This window comes from Homo sapiens, chromosome 9 (genome assembly GCF_000001405.40).
Source record: "Homo sapiens chromosome 9, GRCh38.p14 Primary Assembly".
NCBI lineage: Eukaryota > Metazoa > Chordata > Mammalia > Primates > Hominidae > Homo > Homo sapiens.
Genome location: NC_000009.12, coordinates 132,623,697 through 132,641,057, shown reverse-complemented (window position 1 = coordinate 132,641,057; position 17,361 = coordinate 132,623,697). Strand labels below are relative to the sequence as shown.

At 44.9% G+C, this 17,361-nt stretch overlaps 1 protein-coding gene across 16 annotated transcripts in view; it reads left to right on the top strand.

Annotated features, from left to right (window-relative positions):
- DDX31 (DEAD-box helicase 31) overlaps window positions 1–17,361 on the top strand; it is a 76,987-nt gene that overhangs the window by 28,926 nt on the left and 30,700 nt on the right. For 7 of the 16 annotated variants that reach the window (NM_022779.9, NM_001322341.2, NM_001322342.1 and 4 more), the window contains 3 exons: window positions 8,967–9,017; window positions 10,655–10,794; window positions 15,313–15,394. In NM_022779.9, coding sequence (NP_073616.7) covers window positions 8,967–9,017; window positions 10,655–10,794; window positions 15,313–15,394 — 273 coding nt within the window. Of the gene's footprint in view, window positions 1–2,694; window positions 3,197–8,966; window positions 9,018–10,654; window positions 10,795–15,312; window positions 15,395–17,361 lie in introns of those variants that run through there. The other 9 variants (NM_001322340.2, XM_047423735.1, XM_047423736.1 and 6 more) reach the window with 4 other exon arrangements.

Sequence of the window (17,361 nt, the reverse complement as noted above, 5' to 3'; positions counted from 1 at the left end):
TGGTAACCTGCTTATCACAGTGTCATTTCTCGTGTGTGAGGCAAACAGTGGCTCTGCAGACACTCATTCAGACCTGAGAGCTGTAACCATGGAATACTTGCCTCCTGAGGAGATCTGTGTCTGACCAAGTCCTTCCCTTTATGAGGCCCATCCACGAGTCAGATGCTCGAGCTTGTTCTAAAGCCATCTTTATCCGTGGTCTCTAGTGAAGATTAATTCCAAATAATCTACTTAATAAAGAAATTTGTTGGGCCAGGTGTGATGGTTCATGCCTACCAGCCCACCACTTTGGGAGGCCGAGGTGGGAGGATCGCTTGAGCCCAGGAGTTCACGACCAGCCTGAGCAACAATATAGCAAGACCCCGTCTCTACAAAAAATATTAAGGAATAAAAATTAGCCAGGCATGGTGGCACGTGCCCATAGTTCCAACTACTCAGGAGGCTGAGTCGGGAGGATCACTTGAGCCCAGAAGGTCGAGGCTACAGTGAGCTGTGATTGCACCACTGCATTCCAGCCTGAGCAACAAAGCAAGACCTTGTCTCAAAAGAAAAAAAGCGGGGGAAAGAAATTTGTCAAAAATCCTTATTATATCTAACAATACTTTGTGGAACCTGACCCCTATTTGTCTCTTTTCACCCTACTCCCCCTTGCTCCCTACCCTTCAGCAAAACAGCCCCCTCTTTCAGTCCTGGAATGTATCATCTGGCTTTTTCTAGCTTTGGGGCCTTGATTCATGCTAGTCCCTCTGCCTGGAACACTACCATGATTTTGACTAAACCATCTTTAGGTCTCCCCTTAAATTTTATGTCTTCAGAGAAATGAAACTCAGAAGCCCCCCCATTCTTCCCCATGGGGCTGTCCCAATGCACCCTACGTTTCTTCACTGTAATGATCATCCCACCTGGTCTGCGTGCCTTCCCAGCCGGTCGTAAGCATCATGAAGACAAGGACTGTGATTTGTTTGCATTTCTATCCCAGTGTCTAGCACAGAGCAGGCATGCAGTAGGCGCTTGGTTTTGTAGATCAAATTGGGGGCGCTAGACAGGGCCCAAGAAACTTGATGTTAAGAGCTACCAGTGTGTGTGTTTTTCTAAAGACAGAGATTAATAGACTTGCTCACTGGGAATAAGTTTTTCATTCATCTGGTGTTATCTGAGAAGTGAATGTTCTGGACTGTGAATATTGAAATAGAAAGCAGTAGGAACCTTTGGGGTGGAGTTTGGGTTATTATAGGAACAGAATATTTTATCTTTGACCCATAACATGCTGGATTTATCCCTCAGAAATTGTTGAGTCTCCTAGTATGCAAACACTTTACAGACATGAGTGAGTTGTAAGCCTTAAAGAAAACTCCAGGTATCTGAAGTTCTGTTGTTTGTATTTTTAGTAGCTCTGCGTGGAAGAAAAGATTATTCTTTCTGAAATAGTTAATATAATTCTCAGGTCAAAAGCATACAATCACTTTCCTTGTTCTGTCTGGCTGATGATACCTGCAGGCACGTGGTATCAGCTAGACAAAGAATGCCATTGTCTTGGCAAAGCACAGTACCTCCCAGCCCTCTGCGCCCTGCCAGTCCCAGGTGCCACATGGAAAGAGAACTCTCCCTCGCCCACAGCCTGATTTCTCTAAAGCCCTCAGTCTTTGTTCATTTTCTAGTCCAGGTCACTCCAGCATGCCGATATTCTGGGGACTCTCTTTGCTGTGTAGTGAAGATGACTGGAGAAGAGCTGGGTGGGGTTCATTTCTCTCGGTTGCTGGGCCAGAACAGGAGGGCCGGTTCCCAGTCGTGGGAAGTTCTTCGCTTCCTCTCGGTGTTCCTGGCTCTTCTGCCATGCTTGTTTGCTCTAGCTGATGCTTCTAGCATATGAGAGCTGCGGGGCGAGTGGGACACACACGCTGTAATAGATCATGCCTGGGTCGGGGGAGATGCTGCCACTCTGCGTCCTTTTAAGCAGCCTGTTGCTTGCCAGGCTATCCGAACACTCTCCAGGAGCCTCCTTGGTGTTAATGAGGAACGAGGGCCACTTCAGGACGAGACAGATGGAGAACTGGCTTCTTTTGATAAAGAAGAATCGTGCTGTTAATCGTTACATGGGGATTTTCCCCCCTTTATACTGTGCCTTTTGCCATTTTAATTTATCATCCCGAGATCCTTTTAACAAGGCCAGAATGAATGTCTTTATGAAAATTTGGAAATAGCAGTGTGCTCACACAGAAGTTCACAATTACGCTGTTTCCTTCATGGTTAAAAAGTCCCCCACCCCATTTTCCTTCTTGCTAGGAACAGTTAAGGGTGCATGTGTGTGTTTCATTTCATTTTCATTATAAACATCTCAAAAGCAGGGACCTTTTTAGTTTCATGCAGCTCGCAAGTCCTGATAATGTGGCTTTGTGTAATGTGGCTGTTCAATGAAGGTGTGGCTATGGTAAGATGGAGTCTAGGCAGAGCATAGCTGGGGGCAAAAGAAATCAGTGTGTGAAAGACGAGGAGTCCTCACACATTCACAATGTAATTTCGTGTCTTCTGGAAAACTAGATCTAAGAAAAAGCCAAGTTAAGTAGGAAGTAGGGATGAGCAAGAAGGAGTCATTGGAAGTTCAAAGCCCACTTTCCCAAGTGGAATTAAGCAATCAAAGGGATCAGATATCAGACACTGGATTATCTGCAAAATGTTATTTCCTCCTACTTACAGTGAAGAACTCACCCTAAGCCAGAGGAAAGGAACCTTGCTTTTAATACCATCATTATGTTGACGAGTTGATAAGAAGTACCACCGAATGGCCGGAAAATGGAGTTTCTAAGCCACCTGATTTTAAGGCTGACATTAGGTTTTCTGTTGGTCTCCGGTGGCTGTCCTTGATTGTCCCTGGATGGAGTGCAGTCACCTTTTTCCCAGAAAGGAAAGATACCTGCAGCCCGCCCTGGGCGCCAACTGTCCCTTGGCATCCTCCTTGGCTGTCCGGCGCGTGCATTTCTTTTTCAGAAGATGCACCTAAATCACCTGTGCTGCTTTCCTCCACCTTCTCCGTATTTTTTTCCGCTTGAAGCATACTGTTCTGTCTGTGCAGTTCTTAATTTCCTCTCCTCCTGGGGAATTTCCACCGTGCCAGGAGGCTAGGAGACAAAGGAGATACGGCTGTGAAGAGTCACAATGTCAGTTCTGTGTCCCAAATAAATGTAGACTTTCGTGCTTTTCTCTGGGGTATGCTTTTTAGGTAAAGTGTATCTTTTTCGTTTTATTTTGTTTCGTTAATGGAAAGATCATTTGGAGATTGTTTGCTGTTTACTCAGTTACGCTAACTCATGTTGCCAGTTTTTTGGCGGCTCCAGCCAAGATCTCTCGCCTCTGACAGCTTCTGCACTCTCTCCTTCCTCCTCTGATTACGCAGCCCAATCTGTCACCCGGACAACGGGGGCCTGGACCCTGCTGATGGCTTTCCACACACGGCAGTAATGACTTTTGGCAGGCCGGGAAGGCGTCAGAGGCGAGTGTGCTGCGTCCCTTCTCAGAGAGACGGCAGGCCCCCTCTCCCTGTTAGTAAAAGCACTTTGTGAGGTTCTTGGGTAAATAAATGAGTCATTTTAATCCAACTGACAGGCTGGCACCTGAGCAAGCTGCCTTCCATCTGTACTCCTAGGTCTCATGGAGGCAGCCAATTGTCAGGCCCAGGGCCTTCAAGGCCTCACCGTTGAGTGTCTTTCAGAACTGACTTTAGCAATTCTTTTGCTCGAATTAGCTTAAAGGAATAAAATGAAGCTACATCTAAGTTCTAAGAGCAGACAGAACAGAATCCTCTGCTGAGTCTTGGTGGGTCATGATCTCCTGTTGATCTGATGTAGCTGGCTGACTGTGCTCCAGGGAGATGGAGCCTCTGCTGTTTCCCTGGGACCTCTCCCTGGGTAGGGCGGGGGCAGAGAATGAGATATGATGGAAGAGGAGAGTACAGAGACATTGAAATCACTTCTCTGCCTAATTGCCATGATACCAGTTCTTACTTCACCAGGATAAGTGAGATTTACAGAGTCTCAGAATACTGAGATTTATAGGTCTGAAGATATTTGTCATATACGTGGTCTCATTTGATCTTAGCAACAACCTCATGACGTACATAGCATGGTTCTCCCAGCCATTTTATAGGCGGGGCAGCTGAGGCTCAGCTTGCCAAACTGACCCACGCAGATTGGACAGCCCCTAAGTGGGACTGGAGCAAGCAGTCCAGTTCTCTCTTCCTAGACTAGGACTTGCCTTTCTTTCTCCTTATTCACTGTGGTAGCCTAAAGAAATGGCTGAGTTAAATCTGGGGGAGAGAAAACAAGGAGTATTGGGCAGTGGCTGGCCGTCAGTGAGGTTCCCCCAACACACGCATTAGTGGGAGACCGGAAGATTGTGTCTTAGCCTGTTGTCCAGAGCTAGGTCACCCAGGTAGGAAATAGAGCCTTGAAGACACAATGACAGGCTGCTGGCGCCCTTCATCACTCACTGTTGCGCTGTGTTTGGACTCACAGTGAGTTTCATGAACGTCACATGTTATTTTAGAGTCTTTAGAGTCTTAGTGTTTGCTGGTTGAATTTACTAAGCCAATGAGCATTAAATTTTTACAAGGCACGTCTGTGAAGCTCAAGCAGCCCGTGCCTACGTGGATCTCCCACTGCAGTGCACTTAAAGACAAGAAATCAGTTCTTCACAAGAGCTTTGCAGATGTAAGAACTCATCAGTGTTTCTAAAAACATAAACTGTAGTTGGTGTAGAAAGTGGCTCCCGCTCCCCTTTAGATAGAGAACATCCTAAATTGTGTTCTCAAAGGCATCAGCTCTGCAACATCAGCCTTCAGCTTCCAGAGCCTGTGGGAGCTGTCTGAAAACACTTTGTGGGTGGTTGACACACTTTTAGTGCATTTAACTTCTGCTTACACACTTATAAATGCAGCCTAGCCAGCATTCAAAGGAAACCTGCAAATCTCAGTTACGAGTGAAGACAGACAAATCCTGAGGTACCCTCAGTGGTCCTTCTGGGGGAGTGATGGTGGGATGGTGTCTCCCTCAAGTCCTGCCTCCGACGCTGGGGGAAGCAGGAGTGTGTTTCTTTTCTTTTTCTTCTTCTCTTTTTTTTTGAGACAGAGTTTTGCTCTTGTTGCCCAGGCTGGAGTGCAACGGCGCAATCTTGGCTCACTGCACCCTCCACCTCCCGGGTTCAAGCAGTTTTCCTGCCTCTGTCTCCGAAGTAGCTGGGACTACAGGCATGCACCACCATGCCTGGCTAATTTTGTGTTTTTAGTAGAGATGGGGTTCACCATGTTGGTCAAGCTGGTCTCGAACTCCTGACCTCAGGTGATTCACCCACCTCGGCCCCCCAAAGTGCTGGGATTATAGGTGTGAGCCACTGCGCCCACCGGGAGTGTGTTTCTTATAGAAATTTTGCATAGTATTATTGTTTTTCAAAAAAGCTATGTACAGGCCAGGCACGGTGGCTCACACCTGTAATCCTAGCACTTTGGGAGGCCGAGGCGGGCAGATCATGACGTCCAGGAGATCAAGACCACTGCACTCCAGCCTGGGCGACAGAGCGAGACTCCATCTCAAAAAAAAAAAAAAAAAAAAAAGCTATGTACATATGAATCCTTTGTGATACTTAACAGTAGGTTGGGGGTGGGCTGTTTTTACAAAAGTATCCCAGAGCTGTGAAATGGATGGAAGGAATGATAGACTTAAAGAGTCATCAAGGTAACAGTACAGACAAGGGCCATCAGTAAATGCTAAAAGCCTTGGGTGAAAGGTTTTAGGAAACAGGACCATGCTATTCGCATGGTCTCAAAGTGTAACTCCCCAGCTACTTACTCATTACGAAGGAGAAAGTCACCTTCTCAACAGAGGGACCCATACAGGACAGACTGCCCCAGTGTGTTTCCCGACATGGAACCATGGGAAGCACACACCACCCTGAGGTTGTTTGTGCCAGAAAGCCTAACCGCAACCTTACCATGAGGAAGCAGTTAGACAAATCCAGTTGTCCGATGTCCTCAGGAACATTTTGATGTTCTTAAAAAATGACAGACATCGAAAAACTAAGTAAGTCAATCAAAGGCAGGGGTGTGGTTCCAAACTAAGGAAGTCTACAGAGACACAACGGAGTGCGTGACCTACCATCTGATCCTAGTTTAGGAAAGAAAAACAACTGTAAGAGGCATCTTAAGGCGTGGTGGCTCTTGCCTGTAATCCCAACGCTTTGGGAGGCTGGGATGGGGGGATCGCTTGAGCCCAGGAGTTTAAGACCAGCCTGGGCAGAAAGAGTCTAGATTAGCTGGGTGTGGCGGAACTTACCTCTGGTCGTCCAGCTACTCAGGAGGTCGAGGCCAGAGCATCACTTGAACCCAGGAGGTTGAGGCTGCAGTGAGCAGTGATTGTGCCACTGCACTCCAGCCTGGGCAGCAGAATGAGACCCCATCTTTAAAAAAAAAAAAAAAAAAAAAAAACATCTTAGGTACAGTTGGAGAATTTGAATATGGACTGTTTATTAGAAAATGCTATTCAGCATTAAATTTCTGAGGTGTGATAATGGTGGTGTGGTTATGTAGATCAGTGTCCTTTTACTTAGGAGGTATGTGTTAAAGTATTTAGGGTTAAATTGTCATGATGTTTGCAACCTACTTTCAGATGGTTCAGAAAAATGTGCTTGCATATGTGTGTGTGTGCGTGGGCATGCGTAGATAGAACACAGATGGGCCAAAGACTGGTGGTGGCAGAATCTAGGTAAAGGAGTTACATCTGTATCTCCTTCATCTAGATTGTACTAGTCTTTTAACTTTTCTGTAGGTTTAAATTTTTCTAAATAAAAATTGTAGGGGAAATGATAAGAATTCATTGTTAAAGCCAAACACAAAGAGAAAAGTAAAAATCCCCCTAGATCCCTCTGTCCAGAGATAACCACAGTTGGTGGTTTTGTGAGCCTCTATCATGGTATTGGTTCTCCATCTGCCTATTTAATGTGTTTTGGGTGTCGTTACTCCTCCTTTATTTAACTTTTTTGTTGAAGAAACCAGATCATTTGTCTTTTAGAATACCCTACATTCAGGATTTGGCTAATTGTGTCCTCACGGTGTTCAACATGTTCCTCTTTCCCATACTTCCTGTAAACTAGTAGTTGGATCTAGAGACTTGATTAGATTTAGGTTCTAGGTTTCAGGTTTTATTTTGTTTGGCGAGAATATGTCATAAGTGATACTCTGTGTTTCCTATAGTGACAGCTGTTTATCTTTTTAAATTATGCCAATACACTTCGGTCTGAGTCAAAAGTATCAAAGTTCATTAAAGGAAGTGTAGCTTCCATCTTTATCCTGTCCTTCCTCTTCTTTTCCTCCCCTGGCGATAACTGTTTTTTTAAGCTTTGGGGGTTCTTCCCACCATTATTTCCTACTGAAATATGAGCAAATATGTTTGTATTTTCCCAACTTCTTACACAAGCATACTAGACACACTCAAAATATATCCTAGAGTCTCCATATCCGTATATAGAAATCTTTGTTCTTTTTATAGCTGTATAGTACTCTGTTATATGAGATATTGCTGTATTTTATTGAACCTGTCTTCTGCTGGTTGACAGTTTTTTTCTAGATCTACAAATTATATATAGTGCTGAAATGAATGGCCTCATGCCTATATCATTTTGTATTTTTGTCAGTGTATCTTTTTTTGTGTGGACTTTTAGAAGTGATACTGCTCTGGGTCAAGAGCAAATGCACATGTAATTTTGCTAGATACTACCCAATTCCCTGCCATAGGGATTCCCACCAGCAGCATATGAGGGACATGGGATCATTTTTGATGGTGGAATGCGGTATAATATAATATGGCCTTGAAAAAGCAAAGCAGACCTGGATTCGAGGATTATTTCCACTTCCCAGCTGTGTGTCCCCGAACAAAATACTTTATCTCTCTTAACTTTGGTTTTGTCATCTGTCAGATGGGGGTAATAGTTGTTTTGAGGATTAGTCAAGATAACGCAGGTAAAGGTCTCAGCGCAGTGTGTGGTGGGTAGTAAGTGTTCAGTAAATGTTGGCTGGGACACTCTTGTTACGACTGTTATTCTTGAAGAATGAATGCTGAGTACAGATGTATGCTAAAGTCAGGGAAATTCCCACTTTCTGGTCTGCTAGAATGGTGAGAGACTAGAGAGAGTAGAGAATTTTTGCTCTTTGGGTGGTGACTAGTTGAAAAGATACATAAAATTAAAAAATAAATCTCCATTGCTTTTATAGTTTTTCAGCTATCTAGCTAAATCTTTGAAGCGATTAATGGGCTTGGCCTGTATTCTAATCCAGCTACCTGAAGAGATGGGGGTAGGGGGTTACTAGATCCTTGCTGCTCTCTGAGGCCAGAAAGCAAAATCCTAAGTAAATACTTTGCACTTCACTCCCACAGCGAATGCCTTGAGGGGAGATGTTCCAGAACACACCTCAAGGCCAGCTTGTTAGGCGTTGCTCATGGTTGTGGGCGGGGGGTGATAATCCATGAATGTGTTCCTCAAGTGGTTTTTCAGATAAAATGTAAATCAATAAAACATGCTAGAAGAGTTCAGAGTTCTTTACATTACACAACTGATAATTACTGTTTAAGTTCCTAGGCTAACCTGTGGATTCTTTTAGCAAAGGGTGTTGTGACTCCCTCATCAATGGGTTCTGTAGAATTTGCCCCTAAATCAGAATTTTTAACCACAAGAGGACTGCAGTAGGTCCCTGAGCCCCCTGAAGTTGTATGCAGGACTGTGTGTGTGTGTGTGTGTGTGTGTGTGTGTGTGTGTGTGTGTGTGTGTGTGTGTGTACACGTACTGGGCATATACGTGTATGCCCGAATGTGCATGTACTGTGGGCGGGTGAACTCTCAGAGTTTGCATTAAATTATCAAACATATCCAGGACCCCAGAAAGGTTCAGAAACTCAGTGTTAAACCATATTCTTTTCTTTGTTAAAGGATGTTGCAGCTCGGGGCTTAGATCTCCCTCAAGTCACGTGGATTGTTCAGGTAATTTTTTAGTTGTTAAGGTGTAAGCTTTAGGCAGGAATATATGATCATGAGTAGATGCATTGGCTTTAAGTAGAATAATTATTATTATCCTCTTGGGTGTTGCCCTGGTAACCAGGCAGCAAACCAGCCTTATCTGTTCAATTCCCCTGACATCTTTCCTTAACCCAGCCCACCTCACCACTGCAGCAAAACAGCCAGAATGTGCGTTCACGAGAGGGAGGTGGCAGGCTCTCCTGCTTCTAGACTAATTCGTGTCACAAACCAAAATTTCAACAACCTGAAAATAATGGGAATTACCTCGGTCCCTGGGAGGCCTCATTGTGTCCAGAAGGAGATGGCTCAGCTGTCCGAGAGCCGTGTCCGTGTACGTTGACCTGCAGGGAGCAATTAAGTTCCTGACAGCATCTTACACATACCTCTAGCCTTAGACGCTTTGCCAGAGGGTACAGGTGTTAGCACTAGAGTCTGGTGGTTTTAGTTTTGTTTTTTCTTTTCATTAGTCTACAGAATGGTATTTTTAAGCCCTTTTGTGTCGGGGCTGGGGGACATGCCCTGTTGACGTGAGTCATGGTTTATTCACATTTTAGTGGGATTGCATGCCTGTCACTGGCCAGGATGTCTGATCTGCTCACTGCAGATGATCACTTTAGAACTGGAGGCATTGTGTCTTCTTTCCTGCTGGCCACAGAGTGAACTGAAGATAAGGCAATGACAATTTTAATGTATGGGAGGCCAGACATACAGAATTGATCATTTAGAGCTTATATTGTGAATATTGATTCATTTAATATGCCTAGCCTCCCATACATTATATTGACCTTGGCCCTCATCTCTCTGATATGTGTAGCATCAAAGGGAAAACATAGGGAAGAATGAGTGGATGGTCAATTAGCTTTAATGATGACAAAGTTATTGCCAAAGAAAACATACAATGCTTTGCATTATCCATTGTAATGAGTGATAGAGTCTGCTCTTTTCTCTGAGTTGGCAGTGCTCTCCGTGCAAGCAGAAGCATGTCCCTACCTGCAGGGAACCTGCCCCTCACCTGCCCGCATTCTGTAGAATGGCCGTCATTCTGAAGGACTGAGTGGGGCTGCTGCAGGCTGGTGGGGACCAGCTCCTGGGGCCTGCTCCTGGTGGCCTGGCATCAGAGGTAGACCCTGCCCACAGAGCAGGGAGCCCCTTCATCCTTACACCCTCCAGTGTCCTCTGGACACCTCACCCTGTGGCCTTGTCTACCAAGGAAGTAGGCCAAGGTCATGTGGTCATCCTGGAGAAATTTACCCCCACCTGCCTACATTTTCACCTCATCCAGTCACCACAGTGAAAAGATGCAAATAAGAAAATGAAGAGACCTGTGGAGAAGTAAAATTAAAAAGGAGATACTGGGATGAGAAGACGTCTCGTTTATCGGAAACTTGGCCACTGTTCACATTTGCTTGTCGGAGCCTTGTTATTTCCAATGAAGCCAGGAGTTTCAGGGTTGGGTGACTTCTCCTTGTGATTGTGTTAGGGTAACCATAGCACCAGGATTTAATTCTTGGGATACCTGGAGGCAGGTGAGGAGTATTGCACTTCCAATTAATGGCAGTCCCTTGATCTATGAATGCCTTCATTTTTGTTACCCTTTTTAGTACAACGCTCCATCTTCACCTGCAGAATACATCCACCGGATTGGAAGAACCGCCCGGATTGGCTGCCATGGGAGCAGCCTGCTCATTTTGGCTCCTTCGGAGGCAGAATATGTCAACTCGTTGGCTTCTCACAAAATCAAGTGAGTCAGAAACCTGAATGGGGTTTCGGCTGGTCTCACCTAATTAACTTTCTGTCGCTTTTTACAGTGAATGGGCCTTGTAAGCTGACGAAGAGCCATTAACCCTTGTGATCCCTAAATGAGTCCCAGAATAGCCAGTGGCAAAAACTAAAACCTTTAATATCCTCAGCACATGACAGTTTTCATTGCGTTGCCAGACTAAGTCATAGGACGATGTGTTGTACTTGGTTTTCTTTTAGAGAGCTGCGTTTCGTTTCTCCTGCTGCAAGATAAGTGTGCACCATCTTCGCAGCTTCTGAAAGGACTCTTATTCACAACTTTTATTTCTTGCAATTAATGGTTTGTATCTTCAAAGTTGATTTGTCTTTTAAAGAAATAATGCTTTTTACTCATCACACAATTTCCCTCCCCCAGGAAGATGAACCCAGGGGAAATGATTTTGAGGCAGTTGAAATCCACACTACACTCACAGCCAGGACATTCAGCTGCCATCTTGTGTGTCACAGTTCAGCACCTCATACCTCTGCGTAAAGCCCTGGATTCTAGACTTGGTGTGCCATGAGCACACAGCCCAGCTCGCTGTAAATGGGATAGTCTTATTTCTTTTTCCTTGCCCAGCCCTGTGTTTTATGTAAAACATCAAATAAAACTGCAACACTTTTCTCCCCTAAAGTACAGTGCTAGAAAAAAGCACTACGTTCTTCATTGGAATGAAAACATCCTAGCAGGCAGCCTGGGGGCCTGTTGTGGGGTGCAGCCCACTCAGTTGCAGGAGCCGTGTGTGGCTGTCCCCACCACACCTGCCCCGTCTCCCATCCGCAGAACTCTGCCTCTCATGCTAGTAAGACTTTTCAAAACTCTTTCAAGGTTGTTAGTGTGAACACTTACGGACTGAGGCTCATTCAGAAAACATGCTGTGTGTCCTTCAGTGTTGGGGGAGGCAGGAAACTACTCCTGGTTGTAATGTCAGGGGGCCAAAATAATAGTTTGGGTTTTCCTTTCTTCAGTGTGTTCTTTATCTTAACACAATCTGTCAGTTGAAAGAGTGGTTTTTATTTGTTAAGGAAGATGTGCATATTGTATCTTATTAGTGAAAGAAGTCTCATATAGATCAGTCAGTCACTTTTCACCCAGCGCTGCTTCTCCGGCTGAGTTCTGAGCTCCCTCAGCTGGAGGCTGGCTGGCCTCTCTTTGCTGCCCTTTCAGCATCGAGGCTGACACCCACCAGGGCGGGTGTACCAGGAACCCTGGGGAAGGTAAAATGCAAGCCCGCTGGCGCAGCCAGTTTCCTTTTCCTCCCTGACCCTGTTCTCACAGGCTGGGAGCCCGTCATAATGCTGCTGGTGGCTGCTTTTCTCTGTCATAGGAATTTGTGTACATGCAGAAAGCATCTTCAGAATTTTGTGTTGTAACCCCACAATAGAAAATGTAGTCACCACACCATAACAGCCTGTCAGTCGCTTCACACTTCTTTTCCTCTTCCTTCCATTCTAGAGCTACAAATTCCATTTTCCCATTCCTTCCTGGCCGCAGCTCTCTGGATGTTCCCCCATGCTCGTTCACTTTAACATGACCTCTTCCTAAGAAAAATGAGTGACAGCAGTTGCAGAGCCCAATGATAATTGTCTAATGCCAGAGTTAACAGCAGAGGTGCCTCTCTCTGCTCTCTTCATTTTTCTCTAATAACACATTCAAGTAGATTGCTATGAAGGGCTCAGATATAAAGCTAAAATTGAGAAGGGAAAACAGTGATTAGCAAAGGCACGAAGTATTAGGGAGTCAGGTATATTTTAAAGACATAACAAATACCATCATCTGCTGTGATGATCTTGTCTGGAAAAAATAGTGTGCCCGCATTTACGTGACTCCCTTTTTAATCCCGCATTAGAAAGGAGACAACTCAGTGATAACGCCACCTCTTCTGAAAGGAGGAAGTAGGTCTTTTGGGGAGGAACTCTGCAGGGTGGTGGAAGAGCATTTGCGTGAGGAGGGAGGGTCCTTGCATGAGCCCCACTTCACTGGCGTCGGCTCTGAAAACTCACTTGTGAGGGGCCTGGGCCTGGACTGCTGCTGCCTCGTGGGTGCACTGTAATCAACTTAAACAGACATCAGAATCTGGGTTATTACGTTGCAGTCATGCATTGTTCTTCCCAATTTCTGTTTGAGGAAAGGCCCTACATTGGCTGTATCTATACATGAACTGTTTCTTTGACTTAATGCAAAACAGCAACAACGACAACAACAAAACCCCTATTAACTAGTTGCAAAGTGCGCAGTGGGAAGAAGCAGACTGGAAAGTTTCTAGAATCCAAAAGGTCGACTCCTAAATATTTTTTGAGGAGGAAGCATGTGCATGTTTCGTGCCTGAGAACATGAGAGCCAGGCAGAGGGGCGTTGGGAGGGCTGAGGCACCACAGGGCAGATTGGAGAAGGCAGGCCGAGGCTCTCGGCAGCAAGGGCCAGCACGACAAATGGCTGCCCGCCTTCCTAGATCGAGCACTGCGGTGCTCGCCCTAGCAGTTGAATGGAGCAGACAGGGCAAGAGACAGGTTCCTGGGCCATTGCCACCTCTGTCTAGATGCTCAGAACTTTGCTTCTGCATTCTTTTGACTTCTTTGTATTTGTCAACTTCTTAACTTTTTTCTGCCTCCCCTTTAAATGTGTTTCTAATGAAAATCATCATTGGTTTATTAAAATGTAAATGCTTCATCAAAATGTGTATTTCTTAGATCAGGCATAAGACAGTTCCCTGAATTTATTTATTTATCCATCTCGTTTCATACTAAGGTGAGGTGATTCAGATCTGTTGATGGACCCATAAATAATCATAGTAGATTTGCTTTGTTCCTCAGAAGCAGCAGTTTCTTAGGAAGAGGAAGAAGGCCCTTTTAAACTGTAAATCACTCCCGTTCCCTCTCAGCTCCTGTTTGCTTAGGGTGTGTGGTTCCCCGACGTCGCCATGTGGACACAGCATATGAGCCACACTCTGGCTGGAATATCAGCACACGCATTTGAGAACACTGCCTTACTGTTCTGTGGCATATTTAGCTTTTTCTGTTCCTGACTGCAAACGGCATTACTCTTTTCTTTCTGCTTCAAGATTTGACTCCAAATTCTTGCATTTCTTTTATTTTTGTGTTTTTCCTCTTTTTTTCTCAAGAAAAAAGTGATGAATAGAAGCAAATCAGACCAAGAAAAAGATGGGACTGGGCTCTGTTTTCACCTTCCCTCGGGGTGCCAGGCACAAATGAGAGGCGAGTTCAATACCCATGCATTGCTCTCTCCTATGAAAAATAGATTTCCCATGAAGTCAGGGCACTCTCCCTCTGACTCCTGCCCTTTCAGAGCATGCTCTGCCTCCTCTGGTTGACTCTTTGCTGCTGTAAAAAGGCTTCACTCATCCATAGGGCTGTGAGTTGGCAGCAGAGAGAGGATGCTGAGGGGTGAGGGCTGGGGGTGTGCAGGGAGATGACACATTTCAGGTAAATCGCTGTCAGAGACGTGGCATTTTCATTCATAGCCTTGTCAGAGTAACCTTTGGGTGAAAGGGGGAGAATTGTCTTCTCCCACCTAAGAGGTTGCCATTCATGTTTTAATTTGCTGTTACATTTTCAAAAAAAAAAAAGAGCATACAACAAAATCATTTGTCTTCTTATGATCTGTTTCCCCCTCAGAACTCCTTCTTCTCTTTCTGTTTCTCTTTCTCCCTGGGAAGTATCCTTTCAGCAGCTCACGTTTCTTCCTTCATCTCTGACACGCAAGTCTCTCTTTGCTCCCTACATTCAAATGCTGTGGCCTTGCAGTTGATTGGATGAAGCGGAGGCTTTCCAGACTCCACTGCTAGGCAGGTCTGACTGTTGTGTTCTGGCTCCTTGTGGCTTCTGTTCCTGAGTGAAGCCCAAGCTCTTGTCTCAGTGCTTGGCACACAGCTCCGGCTTCGTTAGAGATCCTTTGGTCTTCACCCATCAGTAATTAAGAGATGGGGGAGTGAAGCTCCTCCAGGGTAGAAGAAGAAAGGCCAGTGCTGCTGGGACAGGGCTTTGTGCCCTCGTTACCCTCACAGGGGTGTTTACCCCACAGTGGAGGATGTTTGGCCACCCTTTTCTTCCTTTTTTTTTTTTTTTTCCTCTTCAGTATAAACTAAAGAGACCAAAATGCTTCTATTTCATCATCATCTGCTCAAATCAAGGGAGTGGATCAGTGAGTGGGCACACTTATTTGGTATTCAAGATTTATTAAGAAATAATGACATAATCTCTATTAAGGAAATTCTAAATGTAGCCTATTTTAAATTCATCAGAGAGGAAAGAAATTGTCAGGAATATCATCCTGTCCCTTTAATATCATAGAGGTCCCCTTCTCAATTCCTAAGGGTTTAGGAAAATATTTCCTTTCCTAGGAAGGTGTCACTTCTACTTCATGTCTAATTAGCTCAAGAATAGGCCAGTTTTGTGCATCAAGGTCTTGGGTGTTTTTGAAAGAGCAAAAAGTTACCTTGCTGTGCCCTTCCTTTTACAGCGTTTCTGAGATTAAGATGGAAGATATTTTGTGTGTTCTGACAAGAGATGATTGTTTTAAAGGGAAACGATGGGGAGCCCAGGTGAGTTTTGTTATTTATTGTGCTCGCTGCCAACAGATGTGACTCACTTGATTTGGGGTAGTAGAGACTTTGTGTATGGGTTACTTCCTCTGTCAAGCAATACATTTATTTTAAGAACCATGAACATTAGATGAGGCCAAATCTTGATTGTTTTTTTTTTTTCCTCGTCTTTGCTTCTGGATGCGTTTGCCACTCTCATCTAGCGAGTGGGCTACGGTCCATTCTGGAAGCCTGCCAGACAGCAGCAGGCTCCCCAGAAAGGAGGTCCAGGCCAGAATGAGTCTGGAGGCAGTGCCACACGCTCAGCCCCGGTGGTCCCTGTCCAGATTCTCAGCAAGGACGGCTGCCTAGACCTGCCTATCCCAGACAGCATGGAAGAAATAAGTATCTCTGTGTCTCCTTTCAGACACAGTTAGTTCATCCATTTTTTAATGTGTGTGTGCTATCCACAGAGGAAGAGTAAAGTTGAGATCATTAAGAAGAAAAATTTTTATTATCCATGCAGTTCCATATGGAGATTCTGAGCAGGTGCAGGCAGCCCTGGACACCCTTTCCTGCTCCTTCTCTTAAGGCTGCACCCGACTAGACCATTATTCCCTCACCCCACCCCACCCCCTTACTCAGTATTCCCGTGTGTGGGTGCAGTGTTGCTGTATGTAATTTTGTCTATGAGATATTAATCACTTGAATATTTTACATTTGTTTTTGTATGCCTGAGGATGAACTGGAAAATCAGGGCCAGATAGATCAAGCTTAAGAGTTTCTTTCATGCTTTAGCATGTGCCTGTATTTGGATCATTATTCTCCCTGAGCAGGGAGGGACCCCGTTTCACTGAGCCTGACTTAAATTCTCTTGTTTTAGAGAGCATCTAAGGAAATGTATGTAATACCAGGAGAGGAGATAGCCATAGCCTCTATTAGCAAAGTGTGTGTTCCCAACCTAGGACTGTGCTACACTCTTTATGTGCACGGTCCCATTTAATCTTATAGCAATCCGAGAAGTTGGTGATGGCCCCAATTTATAGATGAGGAAACTGAGACTTAGAGAGGTAAAGGAACTTTCACAGGGGCACACTAATATGCTTTAGTCATTCTGGGATTTGAAGTCTTAACTTCAAAGCACATATATTTAACTGTATACCAATATGCCTTTATTAGTATTAACTAAACCAAGATAATTGAGTCTTTTTCTAAATAAGGAAATGTTAGTCATATTTAGAGGTGAAATTTGATCAACCACAGCAAAGATCCCTGTGAACAATAAAAGCTGTTAAAGACTCCATTGGTCATCAGGTTACTTTAAGCAAGTCAGTACTTCATATAAGACTCGTAAGCCTCTGGACCACCCTTTATTAAGTTTGTTATTAGGGGTGTTGACCTGTGACCAGACAGATCTTCATTGGTCTTGGCACACTTCCGTTCTTTTGGAACTATCATAAATTCTAGTTAAGGGGCTTTTTTGGTTTCTTCTTTTTTTTTTTTTTTTTTTTTTTTTTTGAGACGGAGTCTCGCTCTGTCGCCCATGCTGGAGTGCAATGGCGCGATCTTGGCTCACTGCAACCCCTGCCTCCCAGGTTCGAGTGATTCTTCTGCCTCAGCCTCTTGAGCAGCTGGGACTACAGGCACATGCCACCACGCCCAGCTAATTTTTTCGTATTTTTAGTAGAGACAGGGTTTCACCATGTTGGTCAGGCTGGTCTCGAACTCCTGACCCCATGATTCACCCGCCTTGGTCTCCCAAAGTGCTGGGATTACAGGTGTGAGCCACCGTAGCCGGCCTTTTGGTTTCTTTTTTAATGTTCCCCCAGATACTTCATTATGGCTCCAGGGCAGCTCTGTGGGATCAGCAGGGAGCAGATGTGGATCTGTTGGAGGAGGCAGTGTAGCAGAGTGGCTAAGAGCATGGCCTTAGGGTCATGTTCCTCATCTGTCACCAGTGTGTGACCTTGGGCAGGGACTGGACCTCT